This window comes from Homo sapiens, chromosome 8, assembly GCF_000001405.40.
Source record: "Homo sapiens chromosome 8, GRCh38.p14 Primary Assembly".
In the NCBI taxonomy this organism is placed as follows: Eukaryota; Metazoa; Chordata; class Mammalia; order Primates; family Hominidae; genus Homo; species Homo sapiens.
Window position 1 is genome coordinate 66,687,926 of NC_000008.11, and position 21,884 is coordinate 66,709,809.

The 21,884-nt window shown below is 44.0% G+C and overlaps 1 protein-coding gene across 1 annotated transcript in view; it reads left to right on the forward strand.

Annotated features, from left to right (window-relative positions):
• Window positions 1–21,884, forward strand: part of C8orf44-SGK3 (C8orf44-SGK3 readthrough) — a 194,427-nt gene that overhangs the window by 20,330 nt on the left and 152,213 nt on the right. Inside the window, exon 3 of the mRNA NM_001204173.2 lies at window positions 2,780–2,835. The gene's annotated coding sequence lies outside the window, so the exon portion shown is untranslated. The remainder of the gene's footprint in view (window positions 1–2,779; window positions 2,836–21,884) is intronic.

A 21,884-nucleotide genomic window follows, 5' to 3' on the forward strand; every position in this document is an offset into this window, starting at 1 on the left:
TTTTTCATTGCATTTTGAAACTTTAAAAGTTACGTGAGACATAAGACTTTATATTGCATTATTTTTCTTTCTTTTTTTTTTTAAACAAAGAGTTTCCCTCTTGTTGCCCAGGCTTAAGTGCCATGTTGCAATCTTGGCTCACTGCAACCTCCGCCTCCTGGGTTCAAGTGATTCTCCTGCCTCAACCTCCCGAGTAGCTTGGACTACAGGTGCCCACCACCACACCGGCTAATTTTTGTATTTGTAGTAGAGACAGGGTTTCACCATGTTGGTCATGCTGGTCTCGAACTCCTGACCTCAGGTGATCCACCACCTTGGCCTCCTACAGTGCTGGGATTACAGGCATGAGCTACTGCGCCTGGCTGCATTCCTTAACTAATCAGTAGGCTGTCTGATAACATACTTTTTAAACTGCTTTTTCATCTCCTTTGGCCACTTGTCCAATAGACTAATGGTGTTAATTATGTATTTGTAAGAATGCAGTTTACATATTGGATAGAAAGTTTTTAAGGATTCTGTTTTTCCTCATATCTTCTTAAATAGCCTTGGGTCTTCTTGCTCACCAATTCCTCCTTTCCTCTAATTATTCTAACTTACATCTTCTGTAACAACTTCTTATCTGAAAATTCTACTGCCAGCACATACTACAGTATATTAAGTATTTGTTGTTATATGGAACATCCTTATCTTGTTAGTGTTATAGTAGTAGTAATAGTAAATAATAATAACAGCTCTCAAACACTGAGTGCTTTCAGGTGCTATATCTCATTTAATCCTCTGTGACCCAATAAGATATCCTCATTTTACAGATAAAGAAGTAGTCGCAGACAGATTTACCAACTTGCCCAAAGACATGCTATTAACAAAAGGAAGACCTGTCAAATTCCAAAGCCCATGTTCTTCATTATCATGCTGTCTGGTCCTCAAGTGTAAAGTCAAGTCTCTGTGGGGAAAACAAAAAGCTCTTTATTGTGTTAAGAAAGAAAACTTCCACACTAATTTATTAAAATTCCTACACCATTTTATTAAAGGCTTTAAATAAAAAAGATTTTCAGTTTTATGAAATATTTTCTCAGCATTTGTAAGAACTCTGCTGCCTGCCATCTCCCATGCCTACACTGGCTTCCCATCTCTTGGGGTCCCTGGGCATTGCCACTATGACCTCCAGGGGGCACTGTTTCCCCTTTATTATTGAGGCTCAAGCATTTGACTCATTTCCTGAAGTACAGATGAAACAAGCAAAACTTTTAAAAACTTTAACAGGCCGGGCTGGGTGGCTCATGCCTGTAATCCCAGCACTTTGTGAGGCCGAGGCAGGTGGATCACTTGAGGTCAGAAGTTTGAGACCAGCCTGGCCAACATGGTGAAACCCCATCTCTACTAAAAATACAAAAATTAGCCGGGCGTGGTAGCGCATGCCTGTAATCCCAGCTACTCCGGAGGCTGAGGCAGGAGAATTGCTTGAGCCCAGTGGGCGGAGGTTGCAGTGAGCTGAGGTCACGCCACTGCACTCCAGCCTGGGCAACAGAGTGAGACTCTGTCTCAAAACAAAAATATAAAAATAAAAACTTTACAAAGGGCTCCAGGCAAACAGAATGCAAAGAGTACAGGAACTAATATACAACTAGATAATTCGGTTCACTAAATGCAGGGTAGACATTTCAGCACTTGACACTGTAAAAGGATTCCTCTTTACCTTGCTTCCTACTACCTGCACAAAACAGAAGCCACCTTTTCCTAAACTGCATAATGTCCTCAAGCAAGCTAAATTCTTCAAAAGCCAGCTCCAAGATTGGTAAGACCAGTTCCAGCTTTCTTCTAAATTCCAGTTTCCAGGCTCTGTATCTGCCTCCTCCCTAGATGGTGGGCCCTAAGCTTTTCGGCCCTCTTCTAGGAAGACGGCATTGCTGAGCTCTAAGGTTCTAGTTTTACCCTGTTGCTGGGAGATGGTTATCTATGGTTCTCTGTGTCCCTGCTTGTCTGGCCTTAGAATGTCAAGAATGCAAGCCCTGACTCCTTTTATTATCTATTACTGCATAACAAATTACCCTAAAACATAGGGGCTTAAAACAACATTTATTTTCTGACAGTTTCTGTGGGTCAGGAATCTGGATGTAGTTTAGCTGGGTGCCTCTGGCTCAGGGTCTCTCACAAGATACAGTCAGGGTGTGGGCTGGAGCTGCTGTCACCTCAAGGCTTGAGATAATCACTCATGTGGCTGTTGGTGGGCCACAGGTCCTCACTGACTGTCGGCTAGACATGCAGGTCCATCCATAAGGCAGCTTGCAACATGGCAGCTGATGAGATGATGCCCAACACAGAAGCCACAGTCTTTATAACCTCATCTCTAAAGCAACTTCTCATCTCTTGTGTCATATTCAGTTAATTAGAAGTGAGTCAATAAACTTAGCCCACAGTCAACTGGAGGAATTACAGGAGGCAAGAACCATTAAGGGCCACCTTACAGGCTTTCAGCCACACTATGCTTGATCCAAGCCATTTCCTATGGTTGTGTTTGCAGTGAGCAATCTTGAGGAATGAGGTAACATCTCCCTCTGGGACAAAAAGCAATCTCACTGCTTGTTATAATAGCAGTGGGTTCCCCAAGATTATTGTTGTTCGTCAGCTGCAATGCAAACCCACTCTCTAGGCCCATGCATGTCGCTCCTGTGGAACTGGGGACTTGGGAGCAAGAGAAACTGATACAAACATTCTGATGGGCATGGCTTTTTTTTTTTTCCTGTACTGTGAATAATAAACTTCTTTTTCTCTGGCGTAGATGTCTCCTGTCTTCCTCCAGCATTCACAAACCAGGAACGGCTAGCTTTTTGACCTGTAAGTAGCATAAAATCAAATCACAGACCTGACAGTTTGACTCAGCAAGACTTTAACAGAATGCATATAGTCCTTCAAGAACCAGCATTCACACACGTGATCCACATACATATTATACATTTTATTTAACAAACATGTGTTCCAGGTATTATTCTAAGAGTTTATAGATATAAACTCATTCTATCCATGAAGTAAGTACTATTAAAACTCCCTGTTTTATAGATGGGGAAGAAGATGCACAAAGATGTTAAGTAACTTGCCCAAATCAGGCAGTTTTTAAGTGTCAGAGCCCCATTATTCAAACAGAAACAAATACAAACAGTGGGCACAATGGCTTATGCCTGTAATCCCAGCACTTTGGGAGGCCGAGGTGGGCAGATCACCTGAGGTGAGGAGTTCGAGACCAGCCTGGCCAACATGGTGAAACCCCATCTCTAGTAAAAATACAAAAATTAGGCCGGGTGTGGTGGCTCACACCTGTAATCCCAGCACTTTGGGAAGTCGAGGCAGGCGGATCATGAGGTCATGAGATCGAGACCATCCTGGCTAACACGGTGAAACCCGGTCTCTACTAAAAATACAAAAAAAATTAGCGGGTGTGGTGGCACACGCCTGTAGTCCCAGCTACTCGGGAGGCTGAGGCAGGAGAATCGCTTGAACCCGGGAGGCGGAGGTTGCAGTGAGCTGAGATCGCGCCACTGCACTCCAGGCTGGGCCATAGAGCGAGACTCCGTCTCAAAAAAAAAAAAAAAAAAAAAATTAGCCGGGCATGGTGGCATGTGCCTGTAATCCCAGCTACTCAGGAGGCTGAAGCACGAGAATTGCTTGAACCTGGGAGGCGGAGGTTGCAGTGAGCCGAGATCATGCCACTGCACTCCAGCCTGGGCAACAGAGCGAGACTCCATCTCAACAACAACAACAACAAAGAAATACAAACAACATTGCTACAGAGTCTATTGACCCACTGTATCATGCTGACTGTGTTAAGGGCTAGGAATGGATGGGGCAAAGAGAAGATAAGGGAAATGATCAAACAGTTTAATTCCTCAAAACAGTTGTTGAGATAATCAATTTAAAGAGCTTTTTATTCCTAACATATTACAGTTTTTATTGCTTTATTATTCTGGTCATATTGATACACACTTTGATTCAGTGTGCTATACTTGGCTTGTTAGGATTTGATCGAGAAAATTTGTGTCTATATTCAGACTATGTATTCAAAAACGGTTTGTCTGCAAAAAACCTACCCATGAAAGTTTATAGCAGTTTCTTTATTTATAATAGCCAAATTGGCAGCAACCAAGATGTCCTACCCTAGGTGAATAGATAAATAAACTGTGGTACATCCATACAATGAAATATTTTTGGCGCTAAAAAGAAATGAACTAGCAAGCCATGATAAGATGCAGGGGGACAACTTAAATGGATGTTGCTAAGTGAAAGAGACCAATCTGAAAAGGCTACATACTGTATGATTCTAACTACATGACATTATGAAAAAGGCAAAACTATGGAGACAATAAAAAGAACAGAGGTTGGTGGTAGGGAGGGATGAATAGGTGAAAGATACAGGATTTTTAAGATAGCAAAACTAAGCCAGACATGGTGGCTCACATCTGTAATCCCAACACTTTAGTAGCTGAGGCAGGTGGATTGCTTGAGCTGAGAAGTTGGAGACCAGCCCAGGGAAACAGGGCGAAACCTCCTCTCTACAAAAAATATAAAAATTAGCCGGGCATGGCAGCATGCACCTGTAGTCCCAGCTACTTGGGAGGCTGAGGTGGGAGGATTGCTTGAGCCCAGGAGATCAAGGCTGCAGTGAGCTGTGATTGAGCCACAGCACTTGAGAGACAGAGGGAGACGCTGTCTCACATATACACACACACAAAGTGAAACTATTCTGTATGATACTATAATAACAGATACATCATTATACACTTGTTAAAACCCATAGAATGTACAACACCAAGCGAGAACCATACTGTAAACTATGGACTTTGGGTGATAAAGATGTTTCAATGTAGGTTCATCAGTTGCAACAAATGTACCACTTGGGTGCAGATGTTGATAATGGGGGAGGCTGTGCATGTGTGGGGGCAAGGAGTAAGTGGGGAATTTCTGTACCTTCTCAGTTTTACTGTAAAGCTAAAACTGCTTTTAAAAAGTCTTTAAAAATAGTCTATCTTTGAAACTTGCAGCGTACTTTAAAATGTAAAATATTGGTAATGGTGTGATTGTGTATAATAAGTTTTTGTTAACTTCACTCTTTACCTGTGCAAGTCCCCCATGCCCTTGGCCTTTCCTTTCTGTCTGTTACCTCCTCCTTTCCTAGGAAGTGTAAATGGCACGGTCCCCACTTGGGCTCTCTTCCTTTACTCCATTGTCCTTTTCTTAAACCTTCGTAAGCCAGGTTCAATCCAGCTGTCTGCCTCCTCCATGGCTATATCAGGGCTGCAGAGCTTTGCCGGAGAAAAACCACGATGGTGAAGATGACGCCCTGTATACAACTCACAGTCTCCCACCTGGACTCATCCTTCAGTGTTTCTTCCTTCCAATTATTTCTGTTTCTCAAATCAGAGCTTTCTACTTCAAACGTGTATAAGATTTTTTGGGGTATATTTTTGTTTTTTGAGACAGAGTTTCGTTCTTGTTGCCCAGGCTGGAGTGCATGGCGTGATCTCAGCTCACAGCAACCTCCGCCTCCCAGGTTCAAGCAATTCTACTGCCTCAGCCTCCTGAGTGGCTGGTATTACAGGCATGTGCCACCACGCCCGGCTAATTTTGTATTTTTAGTAGAGATGGAGTTTCTCCATGTTGGTGAGGCTGGTCACGAACTCCTGACCTCAGGTGATGTGCCCGCCTCGGCCTATCAAAGTGCTAGGATTACAGGCATGAGCCACCATGCCTGGCCCTAATTTGTTTTCTATTTGCTGCCATAATAAATTACCACAAACTCAGAGGCTTAAAACAACAGAAATTTATTACTATACAGTTCTGTAGGTTAGAAGTCTGACATGGGTTTCACTGGACTTGGCAGGACTGTGCTCGTCTTTTGGAGGCTCTAGGAATGAATCCATTTCTTTGCTTTTTCCAGCTTCTAGAAGCCACCTGCATTCCTTGACTGTGGCCCTGTTGTCCACGTTCAAACCTAGCAATGTTGCATCTCGCTGACTATTCTTTCATAGTCACATCTCTTTCTCTGACTCTTCTATTATTGCCTCCCTCTTCCACTTTGCCCAGGCTGGAGTGCAGTGACCTGATCGTGGCTTGCTGCAGCCTCAACCTCCTCGGGCTCAGGTCATCCTCTCACCTCAGCCCCCTGAGTAGCTGGGACTACAGGCACGGATGTCACAAAGCCCAGCTAATTTTTTTGTAATTTTTTTAGAGATGGGGTTTTGCCATGTTGCCCAGGCTGGTCTGGGACACCTGAGCTCAAGCGTTCCGTCAGCCTTGGCCTCCCAAAGTGCTGGGATTACAGGCATAAGCCACGGCACCTGGCCCACTATTTTTTTTTTTTTTGAGACAGAATTTCACTCTTGTTGCCCAGGCTGGAGTGCAATGGCCTGATCTCAGCTCACTGCAACTTCTGCCTCCCAGGTTCAAGCAATTGTCCTGCCTCAGCCTCCCTAGTAGCTGAGATTACAGGGATGCACCACCACTCCCAGCTAATTTTGTATTTTTAGTAGAGACGGGGTTTCACCATGTTAGTCAGGCTGGTCTTGAACTCCTGACCTCTGGTGATCCGTCTGCCTCAGCCTCCCAAAGTGCTGGTATTGCAAGCATGAGCCACCATGCACGTCTTTGTGTTTTGGTGTTTTTTTGTTTGTTTGTTTGTTTTAAGAGACAGGATCGGCCAGGCGCAGTGGTTCACGCCTGTAATCCCAGCACTTTGGGAGGCCGAGGAGGGCAGATCACAAGGTCAAGAGATGGAGAACATCCTGGCCAACATAGTGAAACCCCGTCTCTACTAAAAATACAAAACTTAGCTGGGCATGGTGGCGCACACCTGTAGTCCCAGCTACTCGGGAGGCTGAGGCAGGAGAATTGCTTGAACCTGGGAGGCGGAGGTTGCAGTGAGCCAAGATCACGCCACTGCACTCCAGCCTGGCGACAGAGTGAGAGTCCGTCTCAGAAAAAAAAAAAAAAAAAGAGACAGGATTTCGCTGTGTTGCCCAGGCTGGAGTGCAGTATCACAATCATATCTCGTTGCAGCTTCAAACTCCTGAGCTCAGGCGATCTTCCTAGCAGCTGGGACTACAGGCACGAACCCCTCTTCCACTTTTAAGGACCTTGTGATTACATTCAACCCACCAAGGATATTCTATCTTAAGGTTAGCTGATTAGAAAACTCAATTCTGCAACCTTTATTCTTTGCTATGTAATGTAACGCATTCACAAGTTCTGGGAATGAGAACATGGACATCTTCAGGAAGCCATCAATCTGCCTATAATAATGGGTATATATTTTATATATGTCATTTACATAACAGTTCCCCTTATCTGCAGGAGATACATCCCAAGACCCCTAGTGGATGCCTGAAGCTGCAGATAGTACCAAACCCCCTACATATACTATGTATTCTCCCATACAATCACATTGTATAGGGCAGGCAGTGTATATAGCATGAATACACTGGACAAAGGCATGATTCACATTCAGGGCAGGACAGAGTGGGATGGCACAAGATTTCATCACACTACTCAGAATGGTGTGCAATTTAAAACTTATGAAGGGTTTATTTCTGAAATGTTCCATTTAATATTTTTGGACCACAGCTGACCATGGGTAACTGAAACTGTGGAAAGTGAAATCGCAGATAAGGGGAACTACGTATAATATATCTTATACAGTAGTTGGTATAAAATTTTAAATTTTACCATGAATTATTTTCTTACTATGGTTTTATCTCACTTAAACCTCACAACCCTATGAAGTAAGAGCTACGTTTACAAATGAGAAAACTAAGGCTAAGAACGTTAGGAAATGAGGCCAGGCGCGGCGGCTCACCCCTGTAATCCCAACACCTTGGGAGGCCAAATCACCTGAGGTCAGGAGTTCAAGACCAGCCTGGCTAACATGGCAAAACCCTGTCTATACTAAAAATACAAAAATTAACCAGGTTTGCTGGCATGCGTCTGTAATCCAGGCTACTCGGGAGCGGGAGGCACGAGAGTGGCTTGAACCCGGCAGGCAGACGTTGCAGTGAGCGGAGATCGCGCCACTGCACTCCAGCCTGGGCAACAAAATGAGACTCCATCTCAAAAAAAAAAAAAAAAAAAAAAAGAAAGTTAGGAAATGTATCTGGGGGAGGGCTGGTAAGCAGCAGAATGAGATTTGAACCCAGGGCTGTTTAAAGCCATATTCTTCATCACTATGCTATGCTGAAATTGGTTCAAATTGTATTTTTCTATTTTCCAAGAAAAAAGATTATTATAACGAAAATTGGATTCTGTTTTTGTCGGAAGAATAGTTCAAGGACTGTGAATCAGTTAAAATTTAAATAAACATATTGTCTTTCTGAATAACAAAATTGCCTTAATGTGCAGCTTATATTTTTTTGAATTGAATTTTATATGATCACAGACTTTTGGTAACTGTTTTTTACTTTTTATCCCATGCCCTACATTTCTAAACTGTTAGTACTGCTTGCTTTTAAGAAACCAAACGCTGGCCGGGCACGGTGGCTCACGCCTGTAATCCCAGCACTTTGGGAGGCCGAGGCGGGTGGATCACCTGAGGTCGGGAGTTTGAGACCAGCCTGACCAACATGTAGAAACCCCGTCTCTACTAAAAATACAACATTAGCCGGGCGTAGTGGTGCACACCTGCAATCCCAGCTACTCGGGAGGCTGAAGCAGGAGAATCGCTTGAACCCAGGAGGCGGAGGTTGCTGCGAGCTGAGATCGTGCCATTGCACTCCAGCCTGGGCAACAAGAGCGAAAACTCCATCTCAAAAAAAAAAAAAAAAAAAAAAAAAAAGGAAGAAAAAGAAAAAAACCAAATGGGTGTAAGTTCTTCCTAGGACTGTGAGTTTCGAGTTTGCTTATTTGCAGAGTTTAAAAGTAAACATGACCCCAGGAAGTCATGTGGTCCAGTCTCTTCCCTTGAATACCTCAAATCACCATTTTTTCATTGCTATTTAGGGAGAGGTAGAGGATTCCATTTTAGGCATAGAGAATTTTCATTTCCCTGATCTTAGTTGTCTGCAGTATTTTCCTCTACCTGTTTTTCAGATGATTGTTTTTCAGTGCAATAAGTAGCAAGGAAATGATTTATCTCAGCAGATAGATAGTAGCAATCTATCCCAATCAGGTGTTGAAATAGCAAGTAATGAGATGAAATCTGAGAGGTGGTTGCAGCCAAATAAAACGCCTGTAAAACTTTCAAACAGTATGGTACCAGGCATAAAGAAACAGCACAAAGCAGAAATGGTGCAACAGAAATGTAATATACTGAGGAATACATTCAACAGTGGAAGCAATCCACATAGTACAAGGAAAAAATTAAGGTGCTTTTTTCATTTTTCATTGTTTTATACCAAGGATTTAAAATCCCCTGCAAGGCCGGGCGCGGTGGCTCACGCCTGTCATCCCAGCACTTTGGGAGGCCAGGGCAGGCGGATCACCCGAAGTCGGGAGCTCAAGACCAGCCTGACCAATATGGAGAAACCCTGTCTTTAATAAAAATACAAAATTAGCTGGACATGGTGGCGCATGCCTGCAATCCCAGCTACTCGGGAGGCTGAGGTGGGAGAATTGCTTGAACCTGGGAGGCAGAGGTCGTGGTGAGCTGAGATCGCGCCATTGCACTCAGTCTGGGCAACAAGAGCGAAACTCTGTCTCAAAAACTAAATAAATAAATAAAAATAAAATAAAATAAAATCCCCTGCAAACACAGTGCATCTTTGTGCCTTGTACCTTATGTCTTAACACAGTGCTTTGCAGAGGAAATGTTTGTTGAATCAGTAACATTTATATGCACTTGACTGTCATAAAAGCACCTTGCAGATATCTAGAAGAGACATCACAAATGGCTCATTTAAACTATACAAAAACTAAGTGGCTGTTCAGATGGCCAGATTCAGATTCAAATTCCAATCCCTAGCACATTATTAGCTATTTAAAGGCCTGGATTAGCTGGGTGTTGTGGTGTACACCTGTAGTCCCAGCTACCCAGGAGACTGAGGTGGACAGATTACTTGAGCCCAGGAAACTGAGGCTGCAGTGAGCCAAGATCATGCCACTGCACTCCAGCCTGGGAGACACAGCCTTGAGACCCTGTATCAAAAAAAAAAAAAAAAAAAAAAAAAAAAGCCTGGGAGTGGAGTCAGGGGAAGGAGGTACATGCGAAGGTTTGTTACATAGATAAACTCATGTCATGGAGGTTTGTTGTATAGATTATTTCATGACCCAGGTATTAAACCCCAGTACCCAACAATTTATAAAGTGCCATTTGAGCATGGTGATGATATTTTAATATTTTACCTCTCTGAGCCTAGCACAGTACCTGGCACACACTAGGTACTGAACAAATAGTTATTGGATGAAGGAATATATATATATATAATATATATATTATATTATATATAAGTGTATATATATTATATATACACTTATTTTATAAAAAAAAATAAATATATTTTTTTGAGACAGAGTCTCGGTCTGTCACCCAGGCTGGAGTGCAGTGGTGTGATCTCGGCTTACTGCAAGCTCCGCCTCCCAAGTTTATGCCATTCTCCTGCCTCAGGCTCCCGAGTAGCTGGGACTACAGGCGCCCACCACCACGCCCGGCTAATTTTTTGTATTTTTAGTAGAGATGGGGTTTCACCGTGTTAGCCAGGATGGTCTCGATCTCCTGACCTCGTGATATACCCGCCTCAGCCTCCCAAAGTGCTGGGATTACAGGCGTGAGCCATGGCGCATGGCCTAGACGTTACATTCTTAGATGATATCAAACCAAGGAATAGGGATGTAGAAGGTAACTAACATTATGCATTTTTTGTTTGTTTTGAGACAAGGTCTCACTTTGTGGTCTAGGCTGGAGTGCAGTGGTGCAATCACAGCTCACCGCAGCCTTGACCTAACTAACTCAAGTGATCCTCCCACCTCAGCCTCCTGAGTAGCTGTGACCACAGGTGAGCGCCACCACTCCTACCTAATATTTCTATTCTTTTTTTTTAATAGATATGATGTCTTGCCATGTTACCCAGGCTGGTCTGGAACTCCAGGGGTAAAGCAATCCTCCCACCTCGGCCTCCCAAAGTGCTGGGATTACAGACATGAGCCACCTTGCCCAGTCACATTATCCCATTTTGCTTTTTTATGCATTCCATTCATATAAATGTTGAAACATGTACACTCACATGTAAACTATGTATTTGGATGTGTGTGTGTGTGTGTTGTGTGTTTTGAGATGGAGTCTTCCTCTGTCACCCAGGCTGGAGTGGCAGGGGTGCGATCTCGGCTCACTGCAACCTCCCAAACTGCCTTGGCCTCCCAAAGTGCTGGGATTACACGCCAGGCCTAAACTATGTATTTGTGACCTCTTATATTAATACATTGTATGTATTGTAAAATATAAACCCCAAATTTTAAAATATAAAATAACCAATATATTTAAAGTAATTTAATGGTATTTAATTTTCTGTCAGCCAGGCTGGAGTGCAGTGGTGCAATCTTGGCTCACTGCAACCTCCATCTCCCAGGTTCAAGCAATTCTCCTGCCTCATTCTCCCAAGTAGCTGGGATTACAGGCGTGTGCCACCACGCCCGACTAATTTTTGTATTTTTAGTAGAGATGTGGTTTCACCATGTTGGCCAGGCTGGTCTCGAACTCCGGACCTCAGGTAATCCGCCTGCCCCAGCCTCCCAAAGTGCTGGGATTACAGGCGTGAGCCACTGCGCCCGGCTTAAAAAATTTTTTGTAGAGACAGGATCTCATTCTGTTGATGTGCTCTCCACCTTCAAAGCCTGCAGTGTTGCATCTCTCTGACCATTCTTCCATAGTTACATCTCTTTCCCTGACTCTATTCTATCACCTCCTTCTTCCACCTTAATTTTTAATTTTAGAGATGAGGTCTTACTCTGTCACACAGGCTGGAGTGCCGTCGTGCCATCATAGCTCACTTCACTCCAGCCTTAAACTCCTGGGCTCAAATGATCCTCCTGCCTTAGCCTCCTGGGTAGCTAGGACTACAGGCCTGCACCACCACAGCTGGCCAATTCTTTTTTTTCTTTATTGAGACAGGGTCTCACTCTGTCACTCAGGGTGGAGTGCAGTGTGATCTCAGCTCACTGCAACCTCTGCCTCCGGGTTCAAGTGATCCTCCCGCCTCAGACTCCCAAGTACCTGGGACTACAGGCATGTGTCACCACACCTGGCTAATGTTTTCTATTTTTGGTCAAGACAGAATTTCACCATGTTGCCTAGGCTGGTCTCGAACTCCTAAGCTCAAGTGATCCACCTGCCTTGGCCTCCCAAAGGGCTGGGATTATAGGTGTGAGCCACCACACCCAGCTCCAGCCATTTTTTTTTTTTTTTTTTTTGGTAGAAATGGAGTTTTGATGTGTTGCCCAGGCTGGTCTTGAACTCCTGGTCTCAAGCAATCTGCCCACCACAGCCTCCCAAAGTGCTGGGATTACAGGTGTGCGTCGCTGCACCTGGCCTTAATAGTATTTTTTTTTTTTTTGAGATGCAGTCTCGCTCTGTCACCCAGGCTGAAGTGCAATGGTGTGATCACACCTCAATGTAACCTCTGCCTCCTGGGTTCAAGCGATTCTCCTGCCTCAGCCTCCCAAGTAGCTGGGATTACAGGCACCTGTCACCACGCCCGGCTAATTTTTGTATTTTTAGTAGAGACGGGGTTTCACCATGCTGACCAGGCTGGTCTTGAACTCCTGACCTCGTGATCCGCCCACCTTGGCCTCCTAAAGTGCTGGGATTACAGGCATGAGTCACTGCGCCCAGCCCAATAGTATTTTATTAATAGTAGAAAAGACTTTTTGGCCAGGCACCGTGGCTCAGGCCTGTATATCCCAGCACTTTGGGAGGCCGAGGCAGTGGATCACGAGGTCAAGAGATCGAGACCATCCTGGCTAACACGGTGAAACCCCGTCTCTACTAAAAATACAAAAAATTAGCTGGGCCTGGTGGTGGGCGCCTGTAGTCCCAGCTACTCAGGAGGCTGAGGCAGGAGAATGGCGTGAACCCGGAAGGCGGAGCTTGCAGTGAGCCGAGATCGCGCCACTGCACTCCAGCCTGGATGACAGAGCAAGACTCCATCTCAAAAAAAAAAAAAATCTTGATTTAACACTTTGTGATGCAGTCATTAGAAAGTCTAATTTTAAGTTTAGTTATTCTAATACTTCACTTTAATGGCTGTCACAGGTGAGAAGATATTTTGAAGAGATATTTCATAAAGATATTTAGATTTAAATGGAAGAGATGCATTGTTATTGGCTATATCTATTAAAGTACTCATTTTCTTTTTCAGTCCCATCATCCAGTTCTGTAAAGGTTTTTGTCGAAGTTTGACTAGTAAATTTCCATTCTCTCTGCTGTCAGTCAGTAATTCCTTCCTTCCTTCCTTCTTTCCTTCCTTCCTTCCCTCCTTCCTTCCTTCCCTCCTTCCCTCCCTCCCTCCCTCCTTCCCTCCCTCCTTCCTCTCTCAATCTGTCTCTTTCTTTCTCTTTAATAGAGACGGGGTCTCGCTGTGTTGCCCAGGCTGGTCTCAAACTCCTGCGCTCAAGTGATCCCCCACTACTCAGCCTCCCAAAGTGCTGGGATTACAGGCATGAGCCACTGTGCCCAGCCTCAGTCAGTAATTCTTGCAAACGAATTTAAAGACACTGCCTTTTATTTTTTCATCAAATAAATTTTAAGACCCACTGAAATGCATTAACTGGAAAATGTTTAAACAAGTAGAAAATTGTGTTTCAAAAATTCCAGTGCAATATATATATTAGATAGAGTTTTAATAGGACACGAACACACACACACACACAGTTTCCCATGCAACAAAGTCACATACTGATGGAAATATTTCCAAGACACTCTCTCCAAACTGTTTATTTCAAAACCCATCTACACTAAAGGGAGTGGGAAGGAAGGAAGTTAATCTCTCACTCATTGCTAAAACTTTACCTTAAAAGAAAATGTGCAGCCGAGCACGGTGGCTCACATCTGTAATCCCAGCACTTTGGGAGGCTGAGGCGGGCAGATCACCTGAGGTCAGGAGTTCGAGACCAGCCTGGCCAACATGGGGAAACACTATCTCTATTAAAAACACTAAATAAGCCAGGCAGGGTAGCGCATGCCTGTAATCTTAGCTACTTGGGAGGCTGAGGGCAGGAGAATCACTTGAACCCAGGAGGCAGAGGTTGCAGTGAGCCAAGATCACGCCATTGCACTCCAGCCTGGGCAACAGGAGCAAAACTCTGTCTCAAAAAAGAAAAAGAAAAAGAAAATATGTATGTTTAATATCCTCTACATAGAATACAACCCACAGGGATTATCACAGAAAAGGTAAAGAAATCTGAATCACTTGTATTTTTTGTCAGCGAAAATGCATAATTCTTCTTCATAGTCAAATACTCTTTTAAGTAATAACAACCAGAGCTTGTGTAAAGCTGATTTTGGTAGTAGATATTATACTAAGAGATTTTTATATACATATGTATCAACTCACTTCATCCCCAGAACAACTCAATGCAGTAGATACTATTATCTCCATTTCACAGATGAAGAAACTGAACCTCAGAGAGTTAAATGATCTTCCTGGGATTACATGGCTGGTGATGGGAGAACTGTGGTCAGAACCTAGGCAGTGTGTGTCCAGGATCTGTGCTTTTGACCTCGAGTATGTTGAATACTTTGCTAGAAAATAAAAAGTTTTCACAATCACTCCCCATCTCAGTATAAGGTATTATGTAGATTCTATTGAAGGGATTTAGTTTTACAAAATCGACCACATCAATGATGTCCTATACTACATACAACTTCAATAGACTGATTGTGGATGAACTAGGGCACCCAGTCAACCCTTTTAATTGTGAAAAGTCTGTCCTTCTCAGGTTACCTCACACAGCACACCTCTGACATGACTGACAAAGGACTGTATGAGCATGCCAGTGTCACATTTATGTTAAATAATAAAGCTTAATTTCTTTCTTTCTTTCTTTTTAGACAGGGTTTCACTCTGTCACCCAGGCTGGAGTGCAATGGTGCGATCTTGGCCCACTGCAACCTCCGTTTCCCAGACTCAAGCTATCTTCCCACCTCAGCATTCCGAGTAGCTGGGATTACAGATGCACACCACCATGCCCAGCTAAGTTTTATATTTTTGTAGAGACGGTGTATCATCATGTTGCCCAAGTTGGTCTTGAACTCCTGAGCTCAAGTGATCCACCCGCCTTAGCCTCCCAAAGTGCTGGGATTTCAGGCATGAGCCAACCTGGTCTGTTTCTTACTTTTTAGAGAAAACAAATGGATGTTGTAATATTTTCTTTCTGTTCTTTCTGAACTTGTAGTAGATTGCCTTGAGGACCCTTTGGATGTCCAGTCTCCACTTTCAATACCATTCGCCTTAGCAAATATGAAGAAATTTAAAATTATCCAGGAGAAATACAGTTTCAGTAAAACAAATGCAGAGGAATTACATAGGATAATCAAAACAACTTCTTAAATATAATTTGAGAAATAAAAGGAGGCTGAGTTTAGATTTTAAAATCTGATAATAATGAAATGTGATTTTTTTGAAGTGTAATTTTAAACGTAAGATTAATACAAGGCTGCATTATAAGAGTGTCGGCCGGGCGCGGTGGCTCACGCCTGTAATCCCAGCACTTTGGGAGGCCGAGGCGGGTGGATCATGAGGTCAGGAGATCGAGACCATCCTGGCTAACAAGGTGAAACCCCGTCTCTACTAAAAATACAAAAAATTAGCCGGGCGCGGTGGCGGGCGCCTGTAGTCCCAGCTACTCGGGAGGCTGAGGCAGGAGAATGGCGTGAATCCGGGAAGCGGAGCTTGCAGTGAGCCGAGATTGCGCCACTGCAGTCCGCAGTCCGGCCTGGGCGACAGAGCGAGACTCCGTCTCAAAAAAAAAAAAAAAAAAAAAAGAGTGTCAACTGGCCAGGTGCGGTGGCTCACGTCTGTACCCCCAGCATTTTGGGAGGCCAAGGTAGGCGGATCACCTGAGGTCAGGAGTTTGAGGCCAGCCTGGCCACCATAGTGAAACCCTGCGTCTATTAAAAATACAAAAATTAGCTGGATATGGTGGCAGGTGCCTGTATTCCCAGCTACTTGCGAGGCTGAGGCAGGAGAATTGCTTGAACCCAGGAGGTGGAGGTTGAAGTGAGCTGAGATCGCACCACTGCACTCCATGATACTAAGGACTCACTTGATCCTTTATAGAGTTCCATGTCTCATACTGGGCATCTCCTCTAAAATCTAAAGAAAACATGGAGAATTTGGGAAAAACTCCTATGAGAGTCATAAAATATTTTTTAAAATGACAGAAAAAGTTAAAAGAGCTGGGGTTGTTTATCTTAGAAAACTCAGGGGAATTTAAGAGTCTTCTTGCGTATGAAGAGTTATAATTCCTTAAGGTCTACTTAAGTCTTTGACACATCTGGCTGGGCCAGACACAGATTCCTTAGAGAATTTGTTAAGGAAATAACAGCAATGCACCTCTTTATGCCAGAAGCTATTAAGCCCTTGCATTTGAAATAGGTTCAATCATTAATTGCACATAATAGAAGTAAATAACTGAGTCACCAAATGAACAGTGTTTAAGAAAAGCTATTATTCCCCACTGATAAGCAACTAAAATAATAGTTATCTTCAAAGTCCACCTAGCAGGTTTAGTCCACCTACCCTAATATGATCCCCTGGACGTAGAAACTGCTGACACGACTTATGTAAATAAATTATTGTCAACTATTAACAGACTTTTATTTTATGTACATAATAGACTAAATGAGATACAGAAAAAAAGAGAAAAATGAATGATTTATATTTTATTCTTGACATTCATAAAAACAAGATTGGAAGACAATGAGATTTCCCTAATAGGAAAGTATAATAATATTATTTTAGATAATTAATGGTCTTAGGGAAATTTAAAATAATTTCTAGCTACTTTTTATCAAAAAGCTGATGCTAGCAGTTTAAGTGTTCTGATCTCCTAACACTTCCCCTTGATTTTTCTCATGAGTCTAATACAGAAAATGAGAAAGTCCTGTGATCTGAAAAGCCTTATATTTGATCCTAATGTAGTCTTGTTTTAAAATAGAGTTTCCTACCTGTTATGAAACATACTTGAACTTCAAGCATTTCAGTTTTGAGTTTGAATTGGCTAATTTGGCCCAAGAAATGACGTTCAGCTTTGGGCCTCCCACCTATACCCTACCCCACAAAATGAACACATGCTGAACCCTTTTCAAATCATAGAAACAAGTTAATTCTGCTCTGTGCTAAAGAGGCGTTAATTGCTCTCAATTTCAGTTCCCATGTGTATCTGAGGGTTTTTTTTTTTTTTTTTGAGAAGGAGTCTCACTCTGTCACCCAGGCTGGAGTGCAGTGGCGCGATCTCAGCTCACTGCAAGCTCCACCTCCCGAGTTCACACCATTCTCCTGGCTCAGCCTCCCAAGTACCTGGGACTACAGGCGCCTGCCACCACGCCCGGCTAATTTTTGTATTTTTAGTAAAGACGGGGTTTCACTGTGTTAGCCAGGATGGTCTTGATCTCCTGACCTCGTGATCCGCCCGCCTCGGCCTCCCAAAGTGCTGGGATTACAGGCATGAGCCACCGTGCCTGGCTAATTTTTGTATTTTTAGTAGAGACGGGGTTTCACTGTGTTGGCCAGGATGGTCTTGATCTCCTGACCTCGTGATCTGCCCGCCTCAGCCTCCCAAAGTGCTGGGATTACAGGCGTGAGCCACCGCGCCCGGCCCTTTTTTTTTTTTTTTTTTTTTTTTTTTTGAGACAGAGGCTTGCTCTGTCCCCCAAGTTGGAGTGCAGTGGCGCAATCTTGACTCACTGCAACCGCCCCCTCCCGGGTTCAAGTGATTCTCTTGCCTTAGCCTCCCAAGTAGCTGGGATTACAGGTGCACCATCACGCTCAGCTAATTTTTGTATTTTTAGTAGAGACAGGGTTTCACTATGTTGGCCAGGCTGGTCTCGAACTCCTGACCTCAAGTGATCCTCTCGCCTTGGCCTCCCAAAGTGCTGGGATTACAGGTATGAGCCACTGCACCTGGCCAACTGAGGGGTTTTTTTGTTTTTGTTTTTCAGACGGAGTTTTGCTCTTGTTGCCCAGGCTGGAGTGCAATGGCTCAATCTCAGCTCACTGCAACCTCCGCCTCCCGGGTTCAAGCGATTTTCCTGTCTCAGCCTCCCAAGTAGCTGGGATTACAGGCACATGCCACCATGCCGACTAATTTTTGTACTTTTTTTTTTTTTTTTTGAGACGGAGTCTTGCTTTGTCTCCCAGGCTGGGGTGCAGTGGCGCAATCTCGGCTCACTGCAAGCTCCACCTCCCGGGTTCACGCCATTCTCCTGCCTCAGCCTCCCGAGTAGCTGGGACTACAGGCGCCTGCCACGGCGCCCGACTAATTTTTTTGTATTTTTTAGTAGAGACGGGGTTTCACCGTGGTCTCGATCTCCTGACCTTGTGATCCACCTGCCTTGGCCTCCCAAAGTGCTGGGATTAGAGGCGTGAGCCACCACGCCCAGCCTAATTTTTGTATTTTTAGTAGAGACGGGGTTTCATCATATTGGTCAGGCTGGTCTCAAACTCCTGACCTCAGGTGATCCGCCTGCCATGACCTCCCAAAGTGCTGGGATTACAGGTGTAAGCCAGCGTGCTCGGCCACTGAGGGTTTTTTTGGTTGTTTTTTTTTGTTTTGTTTTTTGTTTTGAGATGGAGTCTCGCTCTGTTGCCCAGGCTGGAGTGCAGTGGCACGATCTTGGCTTACTGCAAGCTCCACCTCCCAGGTTCACGCCATTCTCCTGCCTCAGCCTCAAGAGTAGCTGGAACTACAGGTGCCCGCCACCACACCCGGCTAATTTTTTTGTATTTTTAGTAGAGACGGGGTTTCACCATGTTAGCCAGGATGGTCTCAATCTCCTGACCTCGTGATCCGCCCACCTAGGCCTCCCACAGTGCTGGGATTAAGGCGTGAGCCACCGTGCCCGGCCAGTTGTTTTTAAACAGAGGGTCTCCCTCTGTTGCCCATGCTGGACTGCAGTGGGGCAATCATAGCTCACTACAGGCTTGACCTCCTAAGCTTAAGTGATCCTCCCACCTCAGCCTCCCAAGTAGTTGGGACTACAGGTGTGCACCACCATACTCAGCTAATTTTTTTTTATAGAGACAAGGGGAGGGGTCTCACTTTGGTACCCAGGATGGTCTCAAACTCCTAGGATTAATGGATCCTCCCATGTCGGCCTCCCAAACTGCTGGGATTATAGGCGTAAGCCACCACTACTGGCCTGAGTTTTTCTAACTGTATCTTGGGTTGCTTTATGTTTTATTAAATTGTTTTGCTCAGAAAATTTAATAAATTAGTCAGCTGGGCATGGTGGCACACACCAGTAATCCCAGCACTTTGGGAGGCAAAGGTAGGAGGATGACTTGAGGCCAGCGGTTTGAGACCAGCCTGGGCAACATAGGGAGACCCTGTCTCTACAAAAATAAAAAATTAGCCAGGCGTGTTGGTGTGCACCTGTGGTGCTACTTGGGAGGCTGAGGTGGGAGGAGTGCTTGAGCCTTGGAGGTTGAGGCTGCAGTGAGCCATGGTTGTGTCACTGCACTCCAACCTGCGCAACAGAGTGAGACCCTGTCTCTAAAAAAAAAAGTGAGACCCAGTCAAAAAAAAAAAAAAAAAAGAGAGAGAGAGAGAGAAATTTAAAAAAAAAAAAAAGAAAATTTAGGCCAGGCTCGGTGGCTCACACCTGTAATCTCAACACTTCAGGAAGCTGAGGTGGGCGGATGAGTTGAGGTCAGGAGTTCAAGATCAGCCTGGCCAATATGGTGAAATCCTGTCTCCACTAAAAATACAAAAATTAGCCAGGTGTGGTGGTGTGTGCTTGTAGTCCCAGCTACCTGGGAGGCTGAGGCAGGAGAATTGCTTGAATCCAGGAGATGGAGGCTGCAGTGAGCCGAGATCACACCACTGCACTCCAGCCTGGGTGACACAGCAAAATTCCATCTCAAAAAAAAAAAAAAAAGAAAATTTAATAAATTAGTCACTTTTGTTTCCCCATATTTTTACCCATTTTTACAGCAAGGTTTTCCTTTTAATTATTACAATCTGAGCCAATTCATAGTTAGGATTATGTTTTTAACTATCTTCTCCACAAAAATGGTTTTCTTTTATTTGATACTGTGGGATGTTGTGATTAGAATGTCAGCTGATAAACATAGCTAGAAACTATAGCAACAACTTATGGTGTCTGACCCACTTAAGCATGTGAGTCTTCAGCAGAATGAGGGAAAAGATACCCTAAAAGCAATGCAAATAATATGAATCAAAACCATCCTTTGCGAGGCTGGGCGAGGTGGCTCACACCTGTAATCCTAGCATTTTTCAAGGCCGAGATAGGAAGATCACTTGATGCCAGGAGTTCAAGACCAGCCTGGGCAATATAGTGGGACCCTGACTCCAAAAAATTTTAAAAATTTGTTGAGGTGGTGGCGCAAGCCTGTAGTTCCAACAACTCAGGAGGTGGGAGGATGGCTTGAAAGCAGGGAGTCGAGGCTGCAGTGAGCCGAGCTCACGCCACTGCACTCCAGCCTGGTGGGTGACAGAATGAAATCCTGTCTCAAAAAACAAAACAAACCAAAAAAAGTATTTTGCTTTTGTAAGCATATAGTTGGTAGGATTATTCTTACCTCTCTAGACTTAATATTTTATCTGCTATAAAACAAGTATTCCTTTTTTTTTTTTTTTTTTTTGCTGGAGTTTCGCTTTGTTGCCCAGGCTGGAGTGCAGTGGTGAGATCTCGGCTCACTGCAACCTCCGCCTCCCGGGTTCAAGCGATTCTCCTGCCTCAGCCTCCTGAGTAGCTGGGGTTACAGGCACCCACCACCACATCTGGCTAATTTTGTATTTTAGTAGCTACAAGATTTCACCATGTTGGCAGGGCTGGTCTTGAACTCCTGACCTCAGGTGATCTGCCTGCCTCAGCCTCCCAAAGTGCTGGGATTACAGGCATGAGCCACGGTGCCTGGCAAAAAACAAGCATTCTAATGAATACCAGCCCTCACTAATGGAAGTGGTATTTCTTGTATTTTTATGCCCCTCACTTCTTCCAAGGTTCTGATAAAAGAACTACAAATAATAGAGGGCTTTATTATGATATAAAAAAGTAATAATGCTTCCACATAAGGCACCATTTTAGAGAAAAGGTTTCCCATTTTGAATAGTGGAGGATGAAAACCAAGCATTCATTTCATTGGAATATATGATCTAAAATAATCGTAATAACCACATTATGTGGCTGGGTAGTTGGGGTTTTTTTGTTTGTTTTTTGAGACGGAATCTCACACTGTCGCCCGGGGCTGGAGTGCAATGGCGTGATCTCAGCTCACTGCTACCTCCACCTCCCAGGTTCAAGTGATTCTCCTGCCTCAGCCTCCCAAGTAGCTGGGATTACAGGTGCCCACCACCACACCTGGCTAATTTTTTGTATTTTTAGTAGACACGGGGTTTCATTATGTTGGCCAGGCTGATCTCAAACTCCTGACCTCGTGATCCATCCGGCTTGACCTCCCAAAGTGCTGGGATTACAGGCGTGAGCCACCGCCAAAATTTCTAAAATCTGGCCATTTTAATACTATTACAAATAAAACATATATAATATTGGCATTTTAATATATGTTTTAGAGCTAATAATGATGAAGATAGCAGTCACTTGGTATTATGTTCCAGGCATTCTACTAAATTCATTTGATCCTCATAGCAATTTCATGAGATTAGCACTATTATCTCCGTTTTACTGAAGAGGAAAAAGCACTATTATCCCCAGGTTACTGATGAAACCG